The sequence below is a fragment of the Homo sapiens genome, chromosome 8 (genome assembly GCF_000001405.40).
Source record: "Homo sapiens chromosome 8, GRCh38.p14 Primary Assembly".
Lineage (NCBI taxonomy): Eukaryota > Metazoa > Chordata > Mammalia > Primates > Hominidae > Homo > Homo sapiens.
In genome coordinates, this window is record NC_000008.11 from 120,362,144 (window position 1) to 120,381,601 (window position 19,458).

General features: G+C 39.4%; 1 protein-coding gene across 11 annotated transcripts in view; it reads left to right on the forward strand.

Annotated features, from left to right (window-relative positions):
* COL14A1 (collagen type XIV alpha 1 chain) overlaps positions 1-11,430 on the forward strand; it is a 249,120-nt gene extending 237,690 nt beyond the window's left edge. For 5 of the 11 annotated variants that reach the window (NM_001413490.1, NM_001413493.1, NM_021110.4 and 2 more), the window contains 3 exons: positions 5,028-5,105; positions 7,187-7,342; positions 9,009-11,430. In NM_001413490.1, coding sequence (NP_001400419.1) covers positions 5,028-5,105; positions 7,187-7,342; positions 9,009-9,088 — 314 coding nt within the window. In that variant the 3' untranslated portion in view covers positions 9,089-11,430. Of the gene's footprint in view, positions 1-5,027; positions 5,106-7,186; positions 7,343-8,192 lie in introns of all 11 variants that reach the window. The other 6 variants (NM_001413491.1, NM_001413494.1, NM_001413495.1 and 3 more) reach the window with 3 other exon arrangements.

Consider the following 19,458-nt stretch of genomic DNA (forward strand, 5'->3'; position numbering starts at 1 on the left):
GGAGTGCAGTGGTTGAGCACAGAGGCTTCTGTGCCAATCTGCCTGGGTTGAGATTTTGGCTCTGTTGTTTCCTAGCTAAGGACAAGTGAGTTACCCTCTCAGGATTCAGCTCTCTTTCAGGGTTAATAGCAGTGCCTGCCCTCTTGGCTCATGTGAAAACAACATGAGTTTGTTCATGTGAAGCAGCTGGCATCCGAAACCTAGTGAGATAATTTATAGGCAGTGCTGATACACTCTCAGGCACATTTTTGGTTTGTCAAAGTCTGCAATCAAATTTTGTATTCCATTCATTCATCCATTGCTTTAACAGATATTTCTTGAGTGCTTAATGTGTGACTGGCACTTGGAATAGAATGAAGATCTAAAACAAGCAAGTCCCTGATTTTGTGGGCCAGAAAACAAAAATATTGACGAGTCAGTGTTAGGTTAGTGGTGAGGGAGAATCAGGCAACCTGAAGTGGTTTCTAATGAGACTCTGAAGAATGAATGAATATGACAAATGTACCACTCTGATGGAGGATGTTGTACAATGAGCAAGGCTATGCATCTGTGGGAGCAGGGTGTATATGAGAAATCTCTGTATCTTTTACTCAGTTTTACTGTGAACCCAAAACTGCTCTAAAAGATAGTCATTAGAAAAAGAGAGAGAGAAGGAGTAGGAGGAGATGGAGGGAGGGGACTTCTTTCTGATGATCCTAAATATTATTTTGGTTACTCTACAGAAAACTAAGGGTATTTTAACCTTGGCTAAATCATATTTTTGCTAAGTTAGATCTAATTTATATGAGCTGTGCTCATTTTAAAAATTGCAGTACCTCAAACTTCATTGGAGCCAATTATATTCATCTCTAAAAGGCACTAGTAGTTGATATCACCACCACACAAGGAACTTGTTAGAAAAAGCAGTGTTCACCTAACCAAGGAGTATAAAAATGAAGCTTCAGCCTAAGGAATTTTGTCTGTTGATTTTTCAAAGGTATGCTTGCTTATAATGGGCAGCTGAACTATTCACAACAGCAAAGACATGGAACCAACCCAAATGGCCATCAATGATAGACTAAAGCAAATGTGGTACATATACACCATGGAACACTATGCAACCATAAAAAGGAATGAGATCATGTACTTTGCAGAGACATGGATGAAGCTAGAAGCCATCATCCTCAGCAATCTAACACAGGAACAGAAAACCAAACACCACATATTCTCACTCATAAGTGGGAGCAATGAGAACACAGGGACACAGGGAGGGGAACAACACATACTGGGACCTGTTGGGAGGAGGGGCAAGGGGAGGAAGAGCATCAGGACAAATAGCTAATGTGTGTGGGGCTTAAAACCTAGGTGATGTGTTGATAGGTGCAGCAAACCACCATGGCACACATTTACCTGTGTAGCAAACCTGCACGTTCTGCCCATGTAGCCCAGAACTTAAAAGTAAAATAAATTAAAAAATAATAATAATGGACTGTTGAATATTAGTCTAGGCATTGAATTCATTTAGTCTTCCAGTATTTATTGGGCCACCTAAGAGTGGCCATGGACTGATGCTAGAGAGATAAGTAAGGCACAGCTCCAGCAGTCAAGAGGCCTATAGTTTTGGGGCCATGTGGGCATGAGAATAGGTAATGCAGTGGAATGCGCAGTACCAAAGGATCGCAGTTACTAAGAAAGCAAAGAATTCATTCACTCATTTGTTCTTTCATTTGTTAGTTCACTCAACAAGTATTTGTGTTATATATTATGTGGAAGACATGATATTTATACATTGGGGATATAGCCGTGGAATAAGATAAATATGCCTTGCCCTCTTGAGTCTGTCATGGTTCTACCTGCTATGGTTATAGAGAAATTCTGAGTTGGGTCTTAAAGAATGAGGACAAGTTATGGAGACAGACAAGTTAAAGGGCATTTCAAAAGAAGGAAATTAGCATTTGGGAGTCCCATGAGTCTCCTGAGTCTCGGTGTTTTTGTGGAAAGGACAGTGGCACTTAGCACTGGTGACCCCATCTCAGCACCAGGTGGCCCCACCTTGGTTCTGTGCAAAAGAGATCTACGATGGGCCATGACTGGGTTTTGTCTATAAAAAAATGACTTTATACCCAGGCTCCACTGCCCTCAGGCATCTCATGGATAGTCACAGGCTGATGTTTTAGGACACTTGATTTCCCTCCTTTTAATTAGGTCCTACCAGGCTTATCAAAAATATATCCAGATCTATTTTTAGAGATCTGAAGTCTCTACGCTTAGCCTTTGATCTCAATCCTCATCTAAGGTACTTAAATACTGATTTTTAACAAGGTTGCTTCACTCCAGAAAATGGCCTACAACCAAGTTCAGTTGTCATGGACATGAACATTCCTTCAGTATGCGAACCACAAGTGGATATGTGGACAAATATTAATGTATTCACCTAAATGTAGTTTGTAATATAATAACTTGAAGAATAATAAAATCAGCCAGGCATGGTGGCTCACATCTGTAATCCCAGCACTTTGGAAGGTTAAGGTGGGCGGATCATTTGAGGTCAGGAGTTCGAGACCAGCCTGGCCAAAATGGTGAAACGTTGTCTCTACTAAAAATATAAAAATTAGCCAAGCGTCGTGTCACACACCTGTAATCACAGACACTCAGGAGGCTGAGGCAGGAGAATCGCCTGAACCCAGGAGGCGGAGGTTGCAGTGAGCTGAGATTATGCCACTACACTCCAGCCTAGATGACAGAGTGAGTGAGACTCTGTCTTAAAAAAAAAAAGAAAAGAAAAGAAAGAAAAAAAGAATAAAAGCTAAAATTCCTTGTTAATATATAATTGTGTCTTTAGGCATTTTCCTTTTTGTTTTCTAAGGCATTTCAAGGGCTGGAATTTTTTTTTAATATTTTTTGTGAGGCTAGTTCTCTCTTCTTACCTCGACATATGTTACAGATAATATCTGATTCCATTTATTTTTCTCTGTATAATGAGAAAATTAAAACAACCAGATTTTCTATTCCCAATCTTCTCCACCTCGTGCTTTCTTTATGAATAAGCAAAAAACAAGTCAGGAAACTATTATTAGGGGATTAGTCCCAAGAATACTTTCCCAGATATCCTCTTCTGCCTGATCCATGTCTTCTTGTGGAGAATTAAGCATTAGGAGCCATCCTGTTAAAGATGATCCTGCACCGTGAGGTCGTGAGAGGCCACTGAGTCACCACGCTCTTAATCAGGAACAGCCTGGTGTTAGTCATCAGTATATTTTATTATGTTCTAGTTCTTTCAAAATTAGTTGTTCCCTGTTGGCAAAGTGACTCCAGTTCAAACAGAAGAGGATGGATTCTCGGCTAAATTCCCGGATGCACATTGGGGCATAAGCACTGACAAGTGAAGTAGTGCCTCTCAGCTAAAAACTACAAACTCCGATTAGCTACTAAACTAATGCCCAGTAGGCTTCCACAGCACGGTTTTCTGTCTGAACAACTTGATTAGCAATTGAGCATTAAATATTGGTGAGTCAGAGTTAGCTGTGTGCTTTTAAAACTCAGATGAGATGGTATTTTTACTTTTGAGAAATCATTGTTTTCCTTATGGGCTCCTAAGAGAAGAACCAGGCACTGAACAGAAAGTCACAGGCATGGTGGTTTGTGCCCTGGGCTGTCATGGAGATACTGGTCTTTTGTAAGCTCAGATAGCACCATCAAGGTGACATGCAATAGGATTGGGTGTTTGGGAATTCTAGCAATGAGTAGACCAACCTGGATGACTCCTAGTAAAGAAGAAGAGCTTTTTAAAAGAGATGCCAGGCTATGTCTTGACTGCAAGAGATCATTACGGGGAGCACAAAAGATACCAAAGCTGCAGGTTAGGAACAACCATTATATGTGCAGTGTAAAAACAAAAAACCAAAACCTGTTAGTTCCTCACCGGAGTCTTCTTTACCAGTGATTTCCAGAACAAATACTACATCAACACTTTTCTTTCTGGAAGTTATAAACTAAGATGTTAAAAGTGATTATTTTCAAGTGCTAGCATCTTGCTTGTTACATCTAATTTGTTGACAGTGAATATGCATTATATTTAAAGTAAACAAATAGTTATTTGCAATTTTAAAAAATTGCAAGGCCTTTCCATGCCTGCTACCTGTCAAATTGGCCATTTTTCACTTATTGATGTTTCCTTCTAGGCTTTGCCAATTCAACATAATTTCTCAGTAGGTATAATTAAACAGAGATGCTGTTCTGCATGCTGCTATTTCAAAGCATTGTTGTACACAAAAAAACAGACAGCAAAGATCTTCTATGATGTAAGCCAGGGTAACCCAGACCCCAGTCTAATGCAACCGTATCTTGGGCCTCAATATAGGCGCTCTCACCTTTCAAGTGATCTTGTGATAGGACCTGTTTAGATAATGAGGTGTCAGAGTATATGTTTCTTTGTTGTTTGCCTGTGAAAATGTATAGTTTGTTAATAGCACTGTAAATTATAAGAGGTCTGCTCCATGGAAAAGAAACATGAATAGATTTAGATTTTTATGGGGCTGAATCAGCCAAATCAAACACAGGCTTTTCTGAAGCTTCCAAGTTTTAATGGAAACTCACGCTCTTCAGAATGTTGCTGCCTAATTACAATTCATGCCTTTTGCAGACACATTACAGAGTGGACCAAAAGGAAAATGTTAGACGTGTTCACTTGTGATTTCTATTGTGTTACTTGTGGAGTGCCAGCTGCATAAGTCCAGTGGCCTGGTGCGTGCAAAGACAAGGACCAGTTCTTGGCAGGCTGTGTGACTTCAGTAGGAAGGAGAAAGAGAGACTGGCAGAATAGCAAATACAGACCACACACTCAAATACAGAACCAGACTTCAACATGTGATTCTACATATACTACCAATGTCAGAATGTAATTTAAAAGTCCCATGGTACTCATAACCCCAAACGAACCCACTTAATTGTCTTCATCAGAGAAGCACTTTCGAACTCCAGAAAAATGGAACTACCAAGATTTTCTTTTAAAAAGAACTTTAAACATTTTTAAAAATTATTTTAAACAGGTCTAACTGGTATCAAAGGAGAAAAAGGAAATCCAGGCGTTGGAACCCAAGGTCCAAGAGGCCCCCCTGGACCAGCAGGTAAATCTTCCTTCCTAACAAGAGACTGCAAATGTATATTTTTATATTCACTTGGCATTGCAAGTGAGGAAAATGGTCATCTTACATCCTAGTATGTAACTTAAATGGCTGTATTTCTTACTTGTTTTATTGGGAGGCTTCTTTGTTAATAAGGATCCTCCCAATATACAAGACCAAAAAGTTAGAGCATATTCTGGGATCTTATTGTTTGTGTGAGTTGCGATAGGACAGACTATGCTATAGTAACAAATACATCCCAAATGCTTAGTGGATTTACACAATAAAGCTTTATTTCACAATCACACAAAGTTTCATATGAATAAGGTAGCTCTCTTCCATCTCAGAACCCATGACCTCCATGGTGAATCATGTAGCCTCCAAGAGAAAGAAAAAGAAGGCACATCGGGCTGGGTGCGGTGGCTCACTCCTGTAAGCCCAGCGTTTTGGGAAGCTGAGGCAAGAGGATCACTTGAGGCCAAGAGTTTGAGACCAGCCTGGGCAATGTGACGAAACCCCATTTCTACCAAAAAAAAAAAAATACAAAAATTTAACCAGGCGTGGTGGCATGTGCTTGTAGTCCCAGCTACTTGAGAGGCTGAAACAGAGGATCACATGAGCTCTGGAGGTTGAGGCTACAGTGAACCGTGATGGTGCCACTGCCCTCCAGCCTGGGTGACAGAGGGAGACCCTGTCTCGAAAAAAAAAAAAGAAGGCACACCGGTCTCAACTTCCTAAACAGAATGAGATGTCACTTCCATTCACATTTTATTGTCTGGAACTAATCACCTAGCCCCAACTGAACTGCAAGGCAGACACAAAATTTAGAGAAATACAGGGCTATTTGGTGAGCACTAGTATTTCCTGCCATGGTAATCTTACTGAATGAGTTCTGTAAAAGTTTTGAGTTTTGTGTATTATATGCTTTTAGAATGGTCTCCAGATGATCAGGCTTGATATTAGAATTATTATAATTTGCAATCTTATTATAATATATATTTATAATGTCAGTCTTAGCCACATTAAGTAAAGTGCTTTACAGATTTTTCTTTCCAATCTAGTAAGGATTTTGGAAAATACTTTTTCTGAGAGAGGTTCCTAATGCAATTCATTTTGAGTGTAAATATTTCTGTTATTAGAGACAATGTGAGGAACTGATATAACATTACACATTACACAGAATGGGTGGTTGGTGAGTGCTGATTGAGGAGCTGAATATATGAGAGCCACCACGCTATTCAAATAGAAGGTGATACTTGTTCCTACTTTTCATTTCAGTTCTAGTTGAGAAATTCCATTATAGTTGAAGAATGCCTTTTCAACACTGTTGGAACCCGGACCTAAAAACAAGCATACAAGCCAAAAAAAAAAAAAAAAACATGCTGACAAATTTCTTCAATTCACAACAGTTTTAATCCTCCTATTTTTACTCAGTCTGAATTCTCAATTAATGTAAACTAGCTTAAAGAAATTTTGGATTAGTATATTGGGTCGAATGTCAAACTTGTCATTGGTCCCCTCCAGGACAATTTCACACTCATACAAATTTACTTTAATTATCTAGGGCCATAAACCAGTACTGAATTACATGGCTATTCTAACTGTTGATGAGGTTGAGCTTTAATTATCTGGGGCCATAAACTGGTACTGAATTGCATGGCTATTCTAACTAGATGATGAGGTTGAGCTCTGAGTGTGTTCATGTTTGTGTCTGTGTGTGTGCACGCCCATAGATTGGATTCATAAGGAACTGCATTGGGAAACAAAAGCTCCAAAAAGAAAATAAGGTTGATAATGGAAGGTTCCTTTCCCTTTAACATCCAAGAGGAAATAGAAAAGATGCATTTTGCTTGCCAGTTTCCTGAGCTGATTGAGAGCATTGACCTCCAGGAGGATAAGTGATTACACTATGACCCTCTGCCTAGGGAATCCAGTCTACAAAAAAGAACTCAATGAGTAGAAAGAGGTTGTCCTAATTGTCCTAAAAGTTGCTTCTTCTAAGAGTTAGTTTACTTCTTGGTTGTCTCAAAACTCACCCTGTTGTGGCAAAAGACCAACGGTTTTCATCTGTGGGTACTTCTTAGGACCTTCAGGGGAGAGTCGGCCTGGCAGCCCTGGGCCCCCTGGCTCTCCTGGACCAAGAGGCCCACCAGGTCATCTGGGGGTTCCTGGACCCCAAGGTCCTTCTGGCCAGCCTGGATATTGTGACCCCTCATCATGTTCTGCCTATGGTGTGAGAGGTAAGTGTCACAAAAAGCCCCGCTTGTGGGCTTTGATCAATGTTTTAGTATGCTTAGTACCAAAATGGGAAGATAGTGCTATGAAAAAAGTTAAATTGGTTATGAATGGGAAGCAGAGCTTGAATGCCTCACTTCCTTAAATTATCCCGAGACATTTTCTATAAAGTGCAAATTGCTATAGAGGCTACTCCCTTAAAAACCTTAAGAGCAAATTCAAAATAACAGCACATCTAAGTCTTCCTTGCTTCCCAGTGATGACCTACATAGACTTGGCCTCTGACTTTGTATTTAGCACATTTGGAGGACATGGTTGAACATTCTTTTGGAGTCTCCATTCTTATGTGACAGCTGTGATGTGGCCAAGACGTCCCATAAAATTTTACTCTTGGTTTGGGGAAATGTCAAACTTAGAACTTCTCCCGTAATTAAGAGGGCTCCTTAGATTATTTTCAATGAAATCATGCATACCACTTGCATTTAGGTGCATTTAAGCACCACATTTTAGGTGACCAAGAATAGTTGTGAGAGGAAACAAAAATCATGCTGTCCTTGTCTTATCACTAGCTACTGGACTAAAAGAATATGCTTCCTAAAACATCTGCAGTGTGCATGCTGGCGTGCTGTGCAATGGCCCCTTTTCTGACATAGTCACTCTTGGAAGCATCAAGGGAGAGGCTGAGGGACTGCTGTGGGGCCATGAACTTACTAGTTAATGGGTTTAAAATTTTCTGCTTCAGTAGAAATTTAACCTTAGTTATCACAGGAATTGGTCAACAAAGTTTTGCTGATGTGTTTTTCTCTGTTCATCTTTTCCCTCCCTGTTCTCTCAAATACTCCTATCCTTATTAAGATCTGATCCCCTACAATGATTACCAGCACTGAAGTGGAAATCCTCCACTCTGGTTCCATTGGCCCCAGACATTTAGCTGTGGATACAGAACTGTCCTGTCAACCACCACCACCACCAAGCCCCTGCCCCTAACAATGGACACTCTGCTTCCCTGCTTCTTCTGCATCCCTGCCTTCCCACTTTCAAACCTCTTGCCCACTCTGCTCCAAACATGATGGAGTGATAACATCGGAACTTAACCAAATCATATATGTCTATTTTAATAGACACTGACTGCTCCATGTCAGCCTGGATAGAGGTATATGATCGTGTGCCAAGAATTTATCCCAGACTCCCCTGTGTGACAGCTTCATAATAAAGTTACTTAACTGTGCCTCTTCCTCCTTCCTCTCCCCACACAGGATGGATGGGCATCTTTCTCCTTGACCACCCTACTCTCCCTTCCTCCCCTGATCACCTCCCCTCCCTGCTCTTCCCTGGTGATGGACTTCTAACATGAGATTTTTTAAAAAAATTTCTATTTCTTTTATAATTTTGCTGAGTTTTCAGGGTTTCTTCTGTAAATAAAACATAATATTTAAATGGTTGGTTATGATTCTAGTTTTCTAACAATTTCTGTAATGTATCTTTCCCTTCGTCTATTTACTAACTGTCTGAAACCTTATGGGGAAGGTACAAGGGGCGTGGTGGATTAAGACATCCACTGCTTTTTACCCAGCAGGATATCTCTGTGTCTCTAAGGACCCAGGTGAGGGGAGAATATCAATTTATGATTCCTGGGTGCAGCAAGTCCCCACCCCCACTTTTCCTCTTTAGCTCCCCATCCAGATCAGCCAGAGTTCACCCCTGTCCAAGATGAGCTGGAAGCCATGGAACTGTGGGGCCCTGGAGTCTGATAGCCTCAGGAGAAATTTGAAGACCAACTGCAAGAACTCTTAAGGAATCTTGTTTGAGAAAATGTTGTTATGTGGTTTGTATGCTACTTTTGGGGGGCAGGGCTCATTTCAGCAGCCTAAATCTCCTCCTTGGATAATGTTAATATTATTATTATTATTAACAAAAAATATATATTTTTAAAAAGTTCCCTTAATCTATGACATGGTAGCAATGATTTCCCTTTGGTGTCTTAATGGCATGTCAGATAATTTGTTTTTCCAGAGAAGAGAGCTCAAAGAGGAATTGGGAAAAATAAATTGAACTCTGGAATCTTCTCTCTCAAGTCCTAAAATGAACAAACAGATATGATTGTGTTTGAGGGAAATATGTCCCTAGCAGGAAAAGAATTCAAAGAGGTTCAAAGAATATGTCACTTACTCCTACTTGCTGTAGGAATAACCTTGCTGATAAGAAAAAAAGGGACAATATTGGAGAAACTACCTCTTGTTTAATTGATCTGTCCAACTCTGAGATCACTTGGTAACTGGTTTCATGTGTATCCAAAAATCAGCATTTGGATTTAAGCTTTCTGAATTTGGTAGTTTAAGAAACAGATTTAGTTTTTCAGTGGTTTTAACTCATGTGAAATAATGATTTTCCACCAGCTCTGATGCAAAGAGATATAATTTTAATGAACGATTTATCCAGCAGTGTGTTCCAGGGGTTGCCTCTCCTTATCTACGGGGATTACTTTGTACATGCAGATAAGTTTTCGCAAACCTATTTCCATTTTCTTTTGTAAGCAAATAAAACTTTAAAACAATGTATGTGGATTCTTTTTCCTGCATTTCTAAGTATCACCTTAAGCTTTTGTAGTCTTAACTGAGTGTCCACCAGAAAGACAACAGTTGTCTTCCTTTAGGTAAGCATTCAAACTTTCATTCATTCGTTTACTCACTCACTCATTCATTCATTCTGAGTGCAGTAGAAAACAGAAGAAGCAGTTAACTTGGGACTAAGAGATTAGCGACATTTTATTGTTCATTTATAATCTAGCAGGCAGCAAAGACCCTGCAAATGCATGACCTCTGCTAAATAAATGTTTATCAATAGTTGACTGAGGAGCCCACCTATCTTCTGATATTGAGGAAAGCCTAAAAACCCCTAGAAGGCAGAGCAGAAATGAGGTTGAATCTAATAGACTCTAACCCTTAAACCATACTTTGTCTTTTGCTCACAAAGGAAAAATCTAGGTATTTGAGAAAGATTTGAATTCTATTATGTGCTAGTTGAAATAGAAACAAAAGAGAACCATAAATTTAATACGTGCTCCTTCTCTGTAACATCTCCCTAGTAACAGCTAACTTTAGAAAGTAGGGATGGGATCATTTACAACTAGAAGCTGGATTCTTTCTGGATCAGGAAAAGGCTAACACGAAGGATGGTGTCTGTCTGATCACCAGGTTCTCTTTCTGTCCTTCTCATAATCTCCTGATCTTTGGAGATGAAAGATCTCCTTTCATCTTCATCTGAAGGATTCTTCAGATGATTCATCTTCAGACTTCATCTGAAGGATTCAAACAATCTACTTGTGTGCCTTTGGTGGGGTGGGGCAGGGGCGGGGGGCGGTTCTAAACAAATCAGTTTTTTTGGTGTCTTTGCAGGGAATGAAAGAAGATAATGAGCAGATAATCAGCAGCCATTTCCTTTCAGTTATGGTATATGATTCTGCCTGAGAAAGCAGGATTTATGGGAAGGAAAACTTGTCTAAGGCTCATCAAGATGGCCTGACCCAGAGTCACCTAAGAGAACTCTTCCAACTTAAATGACTAGGGTGTGTAATCAGTTGCTTCTTATTCTGTGTCTCAGATTTCCTAGTCCATGACATTTAATAGTGAGTATAGAGTAGGATATTCTATACATTTTAGTATTTGGCCCTTGGAAACAAAGTTAAATACCATGTCACTCAGAAGACTCTCAAAGTTTGTGTATAAATGGCGAAGTATACACTATGAGAGATTCTAATCCATTCACATCATTCTTGAGTTGTGCAAATACACTTGGCTTTGATTTCACTTGGTGATCTAAATTTGTTTATTTAAGCTGCAAGAAAGTTACATTAATTTGGAATGTGTCATCACTTGGACCCAGTATATCAGATTTTTATTGAGTAAAATGTTAAAAATAATAAGTGTAACTCAGATTCTGGATGTTCGAGTTTACAATACATTGCCTGTAATAAAAGCTGATTCTGAAGTGCATTTTTCTTGACTTACTTTGGCAGAAATATACTTATATCTTAATTTATAGTTTGTAAGTTTATACTGTTTTCTAAAAGTAATAAATCATTTCATGAAAAATACATTACTCTTCAGAATTCTCATCACATTTGTTACAAACTCTCCATTTCTTTTGGGAATAGTCATTTTAGGGTAGTATTTTATATTCCAAAAGACCCCAATTTAATTTTAGAACAACTCTTCCTCTTTTTTTTTTAATTTTTTTACCTCTTCTGCCCCACCCCATCTTTCCATATCAAATATTACTGTGAACCAGGGAGTGTTTTCGTTCTGGGGATAAAACCATCACCAAAAGAGATGTGGGCTCTGTCCTCTTGGGGCATCCTTTCTGTTGCTGGAAAAAGACAGGAAACGTGAACACATAAGCAAAATTAATTATCAGACAACATCAGATGCGTTCAGGGTGGTATGGCCATAGAAAAATTAATTATCAATCATGATGAATATGAAAGACACAGATAAGGTCCTAAGACAGGAATAAGAAAGGAGGAATAAAGGAACATCTGCTTCCATTTGGGTGGGAGGGGCCCTCTCTGAGGGGCTGACGTTTAAGTAGGGACATGAAGATAAAAGGTGTGGGAGATGAATTCAAGCCCACGGTTTGTCAAGTACAAGGGCCCTTTGTCAGCAAGGTAGGTGCCGTGTTCAGGGAATTGTAAGCAGACCAGTTGGCAGGAGAGTGAGTGGAAGAGTGAACAAAATAAGGCTGAAGACCAAAGCAAGGGGGACTGTATGTGAGAAGTTAGTGATTTGCATTTTATTTTATTAATAAATTTCATTAGAAGCAACTGAGGAGTTGCGAACAGAGGAATGACATGATCAAGTGTCTGTTTTAAGTAAGTAAAGGGAAAATTGCTGTTTCATGGAACCACACTGCTGCGTTTATGTTCTGAAGTTGTCACTGTGCAGTTACTTAAGGCCAAGCCTATCCCAGGAGCTTCAAAGTTGTATCATTTAGGTTGGGCTAGGCTATACAGTGGTAATAATTCCTAACATCTCAGGAACTTAGCACAATAAACATTTACTTCTTGCTCACCCAAGAGAGCAGGGCAGCTGTCTGCCACATCTGGGCTCAGTGTTCCACACTACTTCTGCCTTGGACACTTCCATGTCAACGTGCACTCCCGTGATCACCAAGGCAAAAGGAGAGAGAACATGGAGACTCATTGCCCCACGCTTCCTTCAGAAGTGACACACATTATTTTCACTCATGGATCTTTGGCCTAAGTAAATCACATGACCACATTCAATGGGGTGGAGAAGTACAGCCTTCCCATGTGCTAGGAGGCAGAAGAGAACCCGAAATATTGGCAAGAAACAATAAAAGCTACCACTTATGTTTTAACTCATTTGAACCTCCCAACAACCCAAGAGCTAGTTCACTATCATCCTGATTTTCCCAGTAAAGAGAGGAAAGCACAAAACGTTAAATTACTTGCCCAAAGACGCACAGTTAGGATTCACAGAAGCTCTAGCTCAAGATATCCACTCCTAACCTCTAGATTTCTCTGCCTTACATATTGGGGATGCTTCAATTTTAACGGCAAAAAGGGGTAGAGGTAGGGCTCCTTAAAGTGCAGACCCGTGAACTCTGAAGAATGCCCAAGGATTCTGTGTCAGTTGTCTGAGTTGAGAACTAGATAGGTGCATTTTCTTATTTTTCAACCAAGCACCTCAGTGATCAGTAAGCCACAGCTCCAGAAACACTATTTTGAGAGCATTCTGGTTGCATGGTGGAGAATGAGTTGGAGGGGATCATAGCAGATGAGAAAACATTAGTTACACCATTGTAATGAACCAGTGGTAGATAATGGAGAACTGACCTAAGATAGCGGAAATAACGGGGCTTATTAATCAACTGGAAATGGAGGCGAGGAAAGGAAAACAGGATAACTCACGTTTCTGGCATAAGCAACTGGGTGGATAGAGATAATATTTATCCTGTTGGGAATTACAGATTTGGGGCAATGAAGCTTAAGAGTTCAGTTTACAAGATAAACTGAGCATTAGGTGTCTAACAGGCAAGTTGGAGCTTGGGAGAAAAAGCAGTGCTAGAGATACATTTAGGAGTCATCAGCATGTAGGGTGTATTTAAAGGCTACAGACTATGGGGTGGGGGTAGGGAAAATGAGTGGGCTTATCTGGGGGAATTTCTTGTTTTCCGTTATCCTTTTTTTCATTTTTGTGTCAACAAATTCTCTCCAACTTGGTCATTTATATTTTATTTTTGAGGAAGTATATTTAAATAGGTATCTTAACAAAATACTTTCCAAACTAGAGCCATAATGAACTTGTGCCTGTTCTCTCTTGTTTCTACATCTTTGACATGCTTTATCTTCCACATGGAAAGTCCTTCTTCTCTGCCCCACCTTAGTTTAAATGACCTGCTTAAACTCATACTCAACTTTGTAGACACCTGAGGCTCCTCTTCCTGTGTCAAACCTTTACTAAACTCCACCATGACCATCTTGACAACTATGACACCGCAGCCCCCTTTACCAGCTAACTCTTTGACCTCTCTTCTCCCATACGATGTGCATTCTTTAAGGGGTCTCAGACTGATCAGAGCATGCTTGACTCTTGACAGCTGCTCAACAAATGTTTGTAGAATTCTATTAAGAAGCATTTCATCCTAGCGCAGTTTCATCTATATTCTGGGCCAAATCACATACTCTGCTTATAGCAGGAAAACTTTTCTATCAGTATAAGGCAGAAAATTTGGGAGACAGGAATAACGCCTGGAAGTGAATGATAAGCTTCTATAGCTTTCAAATTCAGATCTAGTAAATGTTCCATAATGTAAGGGAAGTATGTAAGTCTTGTCTTCTGATAAATTTATTCATTCATGTGTTCATGTATTCATCCATCTCTCCATGCATGCATGCATCCATCCATCAAACTTTTAATTAGGATCTGGGGTCCATGAGTTCAGCCATGTGTTGGGGTGCTGGAAAGGAAGAGATGAATAGAGTGACACAGGAGCTCCCTAATTTTCTGCTCTCAGTTGAAGCAGGAAAGATGGCTTGGAGCAGATTGTGGAAGATCTTCTATCCGATGTTGAGATTTTTATCTGAGGGAACAGGGGCAGTGGATATCTTTAAGCAGATGAGTGACCTGATTAGAGTTATTATTTTGGGGTACAATTTTTATAGAATGTACAAGATAGACTGGGGTGGGAAAAGATTGAGGAAAGAAAAAGACATTTAATGAAGACTTCCTATATGTTAGCTTCTGTTCTGGGCGCTTCATAGGAAGTTGATTTTTACAAATTAAGGTAGGTATTACCTTTTCTTCTTTTCTTTTTTGCAAATGTTGAAACATGGAAGGTAAGTAACACACCCAAGGTCACATACATGCACAGAAGAGGCAAAGCAGGGATTCTAACCATTGGTTTGTTCCCAAATTTCACGCAACCTCCCGCATATGTACTGTGCTGCCTGCTGCAGTCGTTCAGATGGTGACAGCCTGGACCACAGCACTGCAGTGGACAAAGAGTAGGAAGCACCAGCTTTGAGGACTGTTGAGGAAAGATTCTGGGCAGAACTTGATGACTGATGGGATCTAGGGTAGTGACATGAGGAAGGAAAGAACGAACGGCTTCATGATTTCAAGTTTGGGAGATTGGTTGAATGGTAAGTCCATTAAGGGAGAGATAAATTTGAGAAGAGGAGAGAGAATGATTTGAGAATGACATGTTGGCTTTGAGGTTTTTCTTTTTTGTCTTTTTTTTTTCTGAGTAAGTACATTATTAGTAGCAGATAGGAACTTAAGAAGGATGAAACAGAAAGGAATGATTTTGGATGTCTAATTAAGCTGTGACAGCAAGACAAGGATTAATCCCTTTGGGCCTGTCCCCAACAAGAAGCGCTGTTCAAATGCAGAATGGAGGTTTCCAAGTATGAACCAAAATATTTGGTTTAAAAAAAAAACACAACTTTTCACTCTAATTTGATGTGGCATCAGAAACATTAATGGAAAGTGTTCATTTGTGCTAGACAAGCTCAGAGTTTAGAAAACTCCTTTGCCACAAAGTCCTGGTTATATCTATACTCTTTAGAATAACTCTATTATCAACAAAAATTAAGTAAATTTTACTTAAATGTTAATGCTTAAAAGTTTTATATTGTTTGAAAAATATTTTGCAACAAGTATGTGCTCTCAGAAGCTTAAGACTTTATTAGAAAATCATAAAAGATTTTAGAATAAAATTCTGCTTTACAAATAATCTATTGCCCTTTAAGTATCATCATTATTATTAATGATCTGGAATGAATGAATAAAAATGAGTCATTGACAGTTAGAAAGATGGTAGGCAATGATAATTTTGAAAGCAGAATAATGGGCAATAGAGTAAATTCATTATTGGGAGTGTTGGAATGATTTTCTTGTTTAAGTAGCATTTATCAATGCATAAATGCTACTCATGGTTTAATTTTTCTCTGCATCTTACTATGTAACAAAAAGTATATGCTGGCATAAAAACTACATTTTGTTGTTTGTTTCTTTGTTTAATTTCATTTTATCTTATTGATTTTTAAAAATTCATGAATAATGTCATAAAATTCAACTATATTAACCTAACAAAGTAAGTTTTATAATGAAATCTAGAGTAGTAAAAATATATATTGTAAAATCTAAAATTCTGTATGCTAACAAAGTAAAAGTAACTGAATAAGACAGAAAAGAAAGGTATAATTATTGAAGACATCCATTTTTGGGTGTCCTGTCATCTGGCCTAAATTCAGTGAATCCTGATAAAACTGTGTCCTGGTTATGCCCTAATAATTATGTCACAAAATTGTTAACCAGCTCCACTTTCATGATGAGAAACCAGTATTGTTTGAATGTGTTTAATTACTAAATAGGTGTGTTGGAGATAACTTGACTTTTCAAAAATTGACATATTTTCACTTTACCTGTGTTTTTTTTCCATATATCTGTTTCGATTACACCTTTGAACTGGAAAATATGGAGGCTGAAGGGACTGAACTCCACAAATAAAGTTCTTTTTACAGACACTCTAGTTATCAGATTTGGACACCATACATAGAATTGCTGCTAACTAAATCTCCCTTGTCACTGGCTGCTTGCTTGTTATTCTTGGAGAGTTGCCAACAAGCGTCATCTCTGGATTCACTTTCATGTGTGACTGTTTTATCAAACCAGCAGAGAGCCACAACTCTAGAGGCTGTGAGTAACAGAAATGCTTAAAAAGATGGATACAATTCAAAAGCTGACTGTCCAGGTAGCAGTAACAATTTGTTTGCATTTTTCAGCTTTGGGGCAGTTTACTTTTCTTCCTAGATATCTAACTATTGTCTATATCCATGGGTGATTTCTGAAGGAACTGGAGCTACACTTGCATGGCTGCAGATAGCTTTCAATAAGAGGAGCATTGAAATGGAATAAAAGTTACCATTAACTCAACAGCCCATCCACCCAGGAGGTTGGCAGCGTGGAAATAGGCTTGTATTAGTCTGTTCTCACATTGCTAATAAAGACATACTCGAGACTGGGTAATTTATAAAGGAAAAAAGTTTAATGGACTCACAGTCCACATAGCTGTAGAGGCCTCACAATCATGTCAGAAGGCAAAGGAGAAGCAAAGCACATCATACATGGTGGCAGGCAAGAGAGTGTGCAGGGGAATTCCCCTTTACAAAACCGTCAGATCTCGTGAGACTTATTCACTATCACGAGAACAGCCTGGGAAAGACCCTCCCCTATGATTCAATTACCTCCCACCAGGTTCCTCCCATGACACATGAGAATTATGGGAGCTACAATTCAAGATGAGATTTGGGTGGGGACACAGCCAAACCATATCAAGGTTGATGGTTTCTGCTTTCATATTTCTAGATAGTGAACAAAGACCTTTCTGGTGACTAGAAAGACTGTGGCTTGTATACGATTTCTGAATCTTAACATTTACTCATTAAAAAAATTTATGCCTATCAAAGCAAGAACTGAGTGCAGCAAAATCAGATGTGTTTGGAAACAATCACCTGCTTTATTACTTTATTTTATTATAGGTTAGGGACCTATATTGGTTTGTAGTTGTTGATGCATTATTTCTTTAACTCATTAAAATCTGGAGTTCTCGTCTCCCTAAATCTGGTGTCAGCAAACAGACAATTCTATCTAGTTCACAGATAATTTCTTATTGCCTGCTGTGTCAAAGACTGGCTAGCTAGAACCAAATTTATTTTCTCTTCTTCTTGGTACAAATTAGATTCTCATTTCTCAGAGTCCCTCAGTATGGCTACATGACAAGTTCTTACCAATGAACTCTGTGACTTCTGACTCACGGAGGTTAGGAAGTGTGGATGTCTTCTCTGCCTGCTGCTTCCCACTTGCCTCCTGAATGCTGAGGACTCCAAGGTCTTATAGGAGGGTAGGGCCATAGGATGGAAGGTGTTTGGGTCCCTGAATGATTTTGTGGAAGGCCAGTGACTGATCAGGAACACCTGCATTGTATTGTTACATAAACAAGGAATAAACTTTTATTATGTAACAACTCAGAAGTGTGTGTGGGTTATATTAGCTAGCACGACTGTAACTAATAAAGCTGCCCTCACTCATGCAACAAACATTTACTATGTATCTACTGTGTGCCAAGCAGTCTTGTAGATGTCTCCATGAGCCAGGCACTGTGCTGGGTGTATGCAACAACAACAACAACAACAACAACAGCAACAACAACAAGACACATTCTCTGCTCTCAATAGGCTCAACTGGTAATGGAGGGGCTAGCAATTATAACACAATAAGGAAATAATTATAATGGGCTTATGCACAGTGAATAGAGATAATAAGGGAGAAGAAATACTTAAGGATGCCTGGAAGAACTGAGATGTATGAGACATGGTAGAAATAGACTGGATGGAGGGGAGCTAGATGAAGTTGTTCTAAGTATTAAAAAAAAAAAGGCATGGAGACTGAGAGCATAATTGTTTGGGAATCACCAGTGTTTAAGACAGACTGGAATGTAAAGTCCAAAAATAGGAGTGGATGGAGATGAGGATGGAAAGGTGAGATTAGAAAAATCTTAGAGACCCTTATAGGTCTTGCTAAGGTATGTGGATTTTAGACCAGGTGATGGGAATAACTAAGTATTTTGGTTTGAGAATGACATGAGGAGACCTCTATGTTAGAAATATCTGCCTAGCTTCAACATGTGCATGAACTAGAGCCTGGCTCAGCTTGGTTCTTTTGAAATTAAGACATGAAACAAGGATTTCAGGGAAGACAGTTTATTTGAAAAGTGACTAAAGGAAATAGCAGTGAGGGAGCAGCACAAATGAGACAGGGAACAAGGAAAAGCCAACCTAAAGGTGCATTATCAGCAGCAGCTATAGGCAGTGGGGATTCAATTCTACCTTGACTTCTGAGAAGTGAGAAGATCCTTCTTAGAACTGTCCCCTAGAGGATGGGAGGTTGAAGCTTTCCTTCACTGATTCCTGAATCCTTGTGGTTGAGCCTTGTTTCTCAGGGTGTTAACTTTCAATCTCGGAGGCTGTCTTGGCATGAGTACCCTGAGACAGAACCCAGAAGCTCCTTGCATATGCATGAGACATGAGCACCTGCCAGTGCCAGTGAGTCTGCTGCACTCTCACCACTGTCCGCCGTGGCTCTGGGTAATGTCATAGTAAGCAGAAGGGATCTGTAACAACAGAGTAGAAATTAAAGTTCAAGAGAACCGTCTAGGAGCTTATTACAATTGCCCAATTTATCATGTACATTTGAACTATGGGAACGTATTTATGGAGCAGTAGCTATATATTTCTGGAATGCTTTGGGGTCTTGAAACACCAGCTTGAGCTTGTACTCTAGTGGGAATGACAGAAAATAAACAATAAACCCAGTAAGTAAGTAAATGGTATACTGTATAGGCAAGATGTAGGTGTTATGGAAAAATAAAGGTAAGAGGATTGGGAGAGTTGAGGGTGAGAAGGTGAGGGCTCTAGTTTTAAATGAGGTGGTCAGGGTAGGATTCAAGCAAAGACTTGAAGGAGATGAGGAAGTAAGCCATGAGTCTATACTGTCATGCATCACTTCATGATGGGGATACATTCTGAGATATGCTTTGT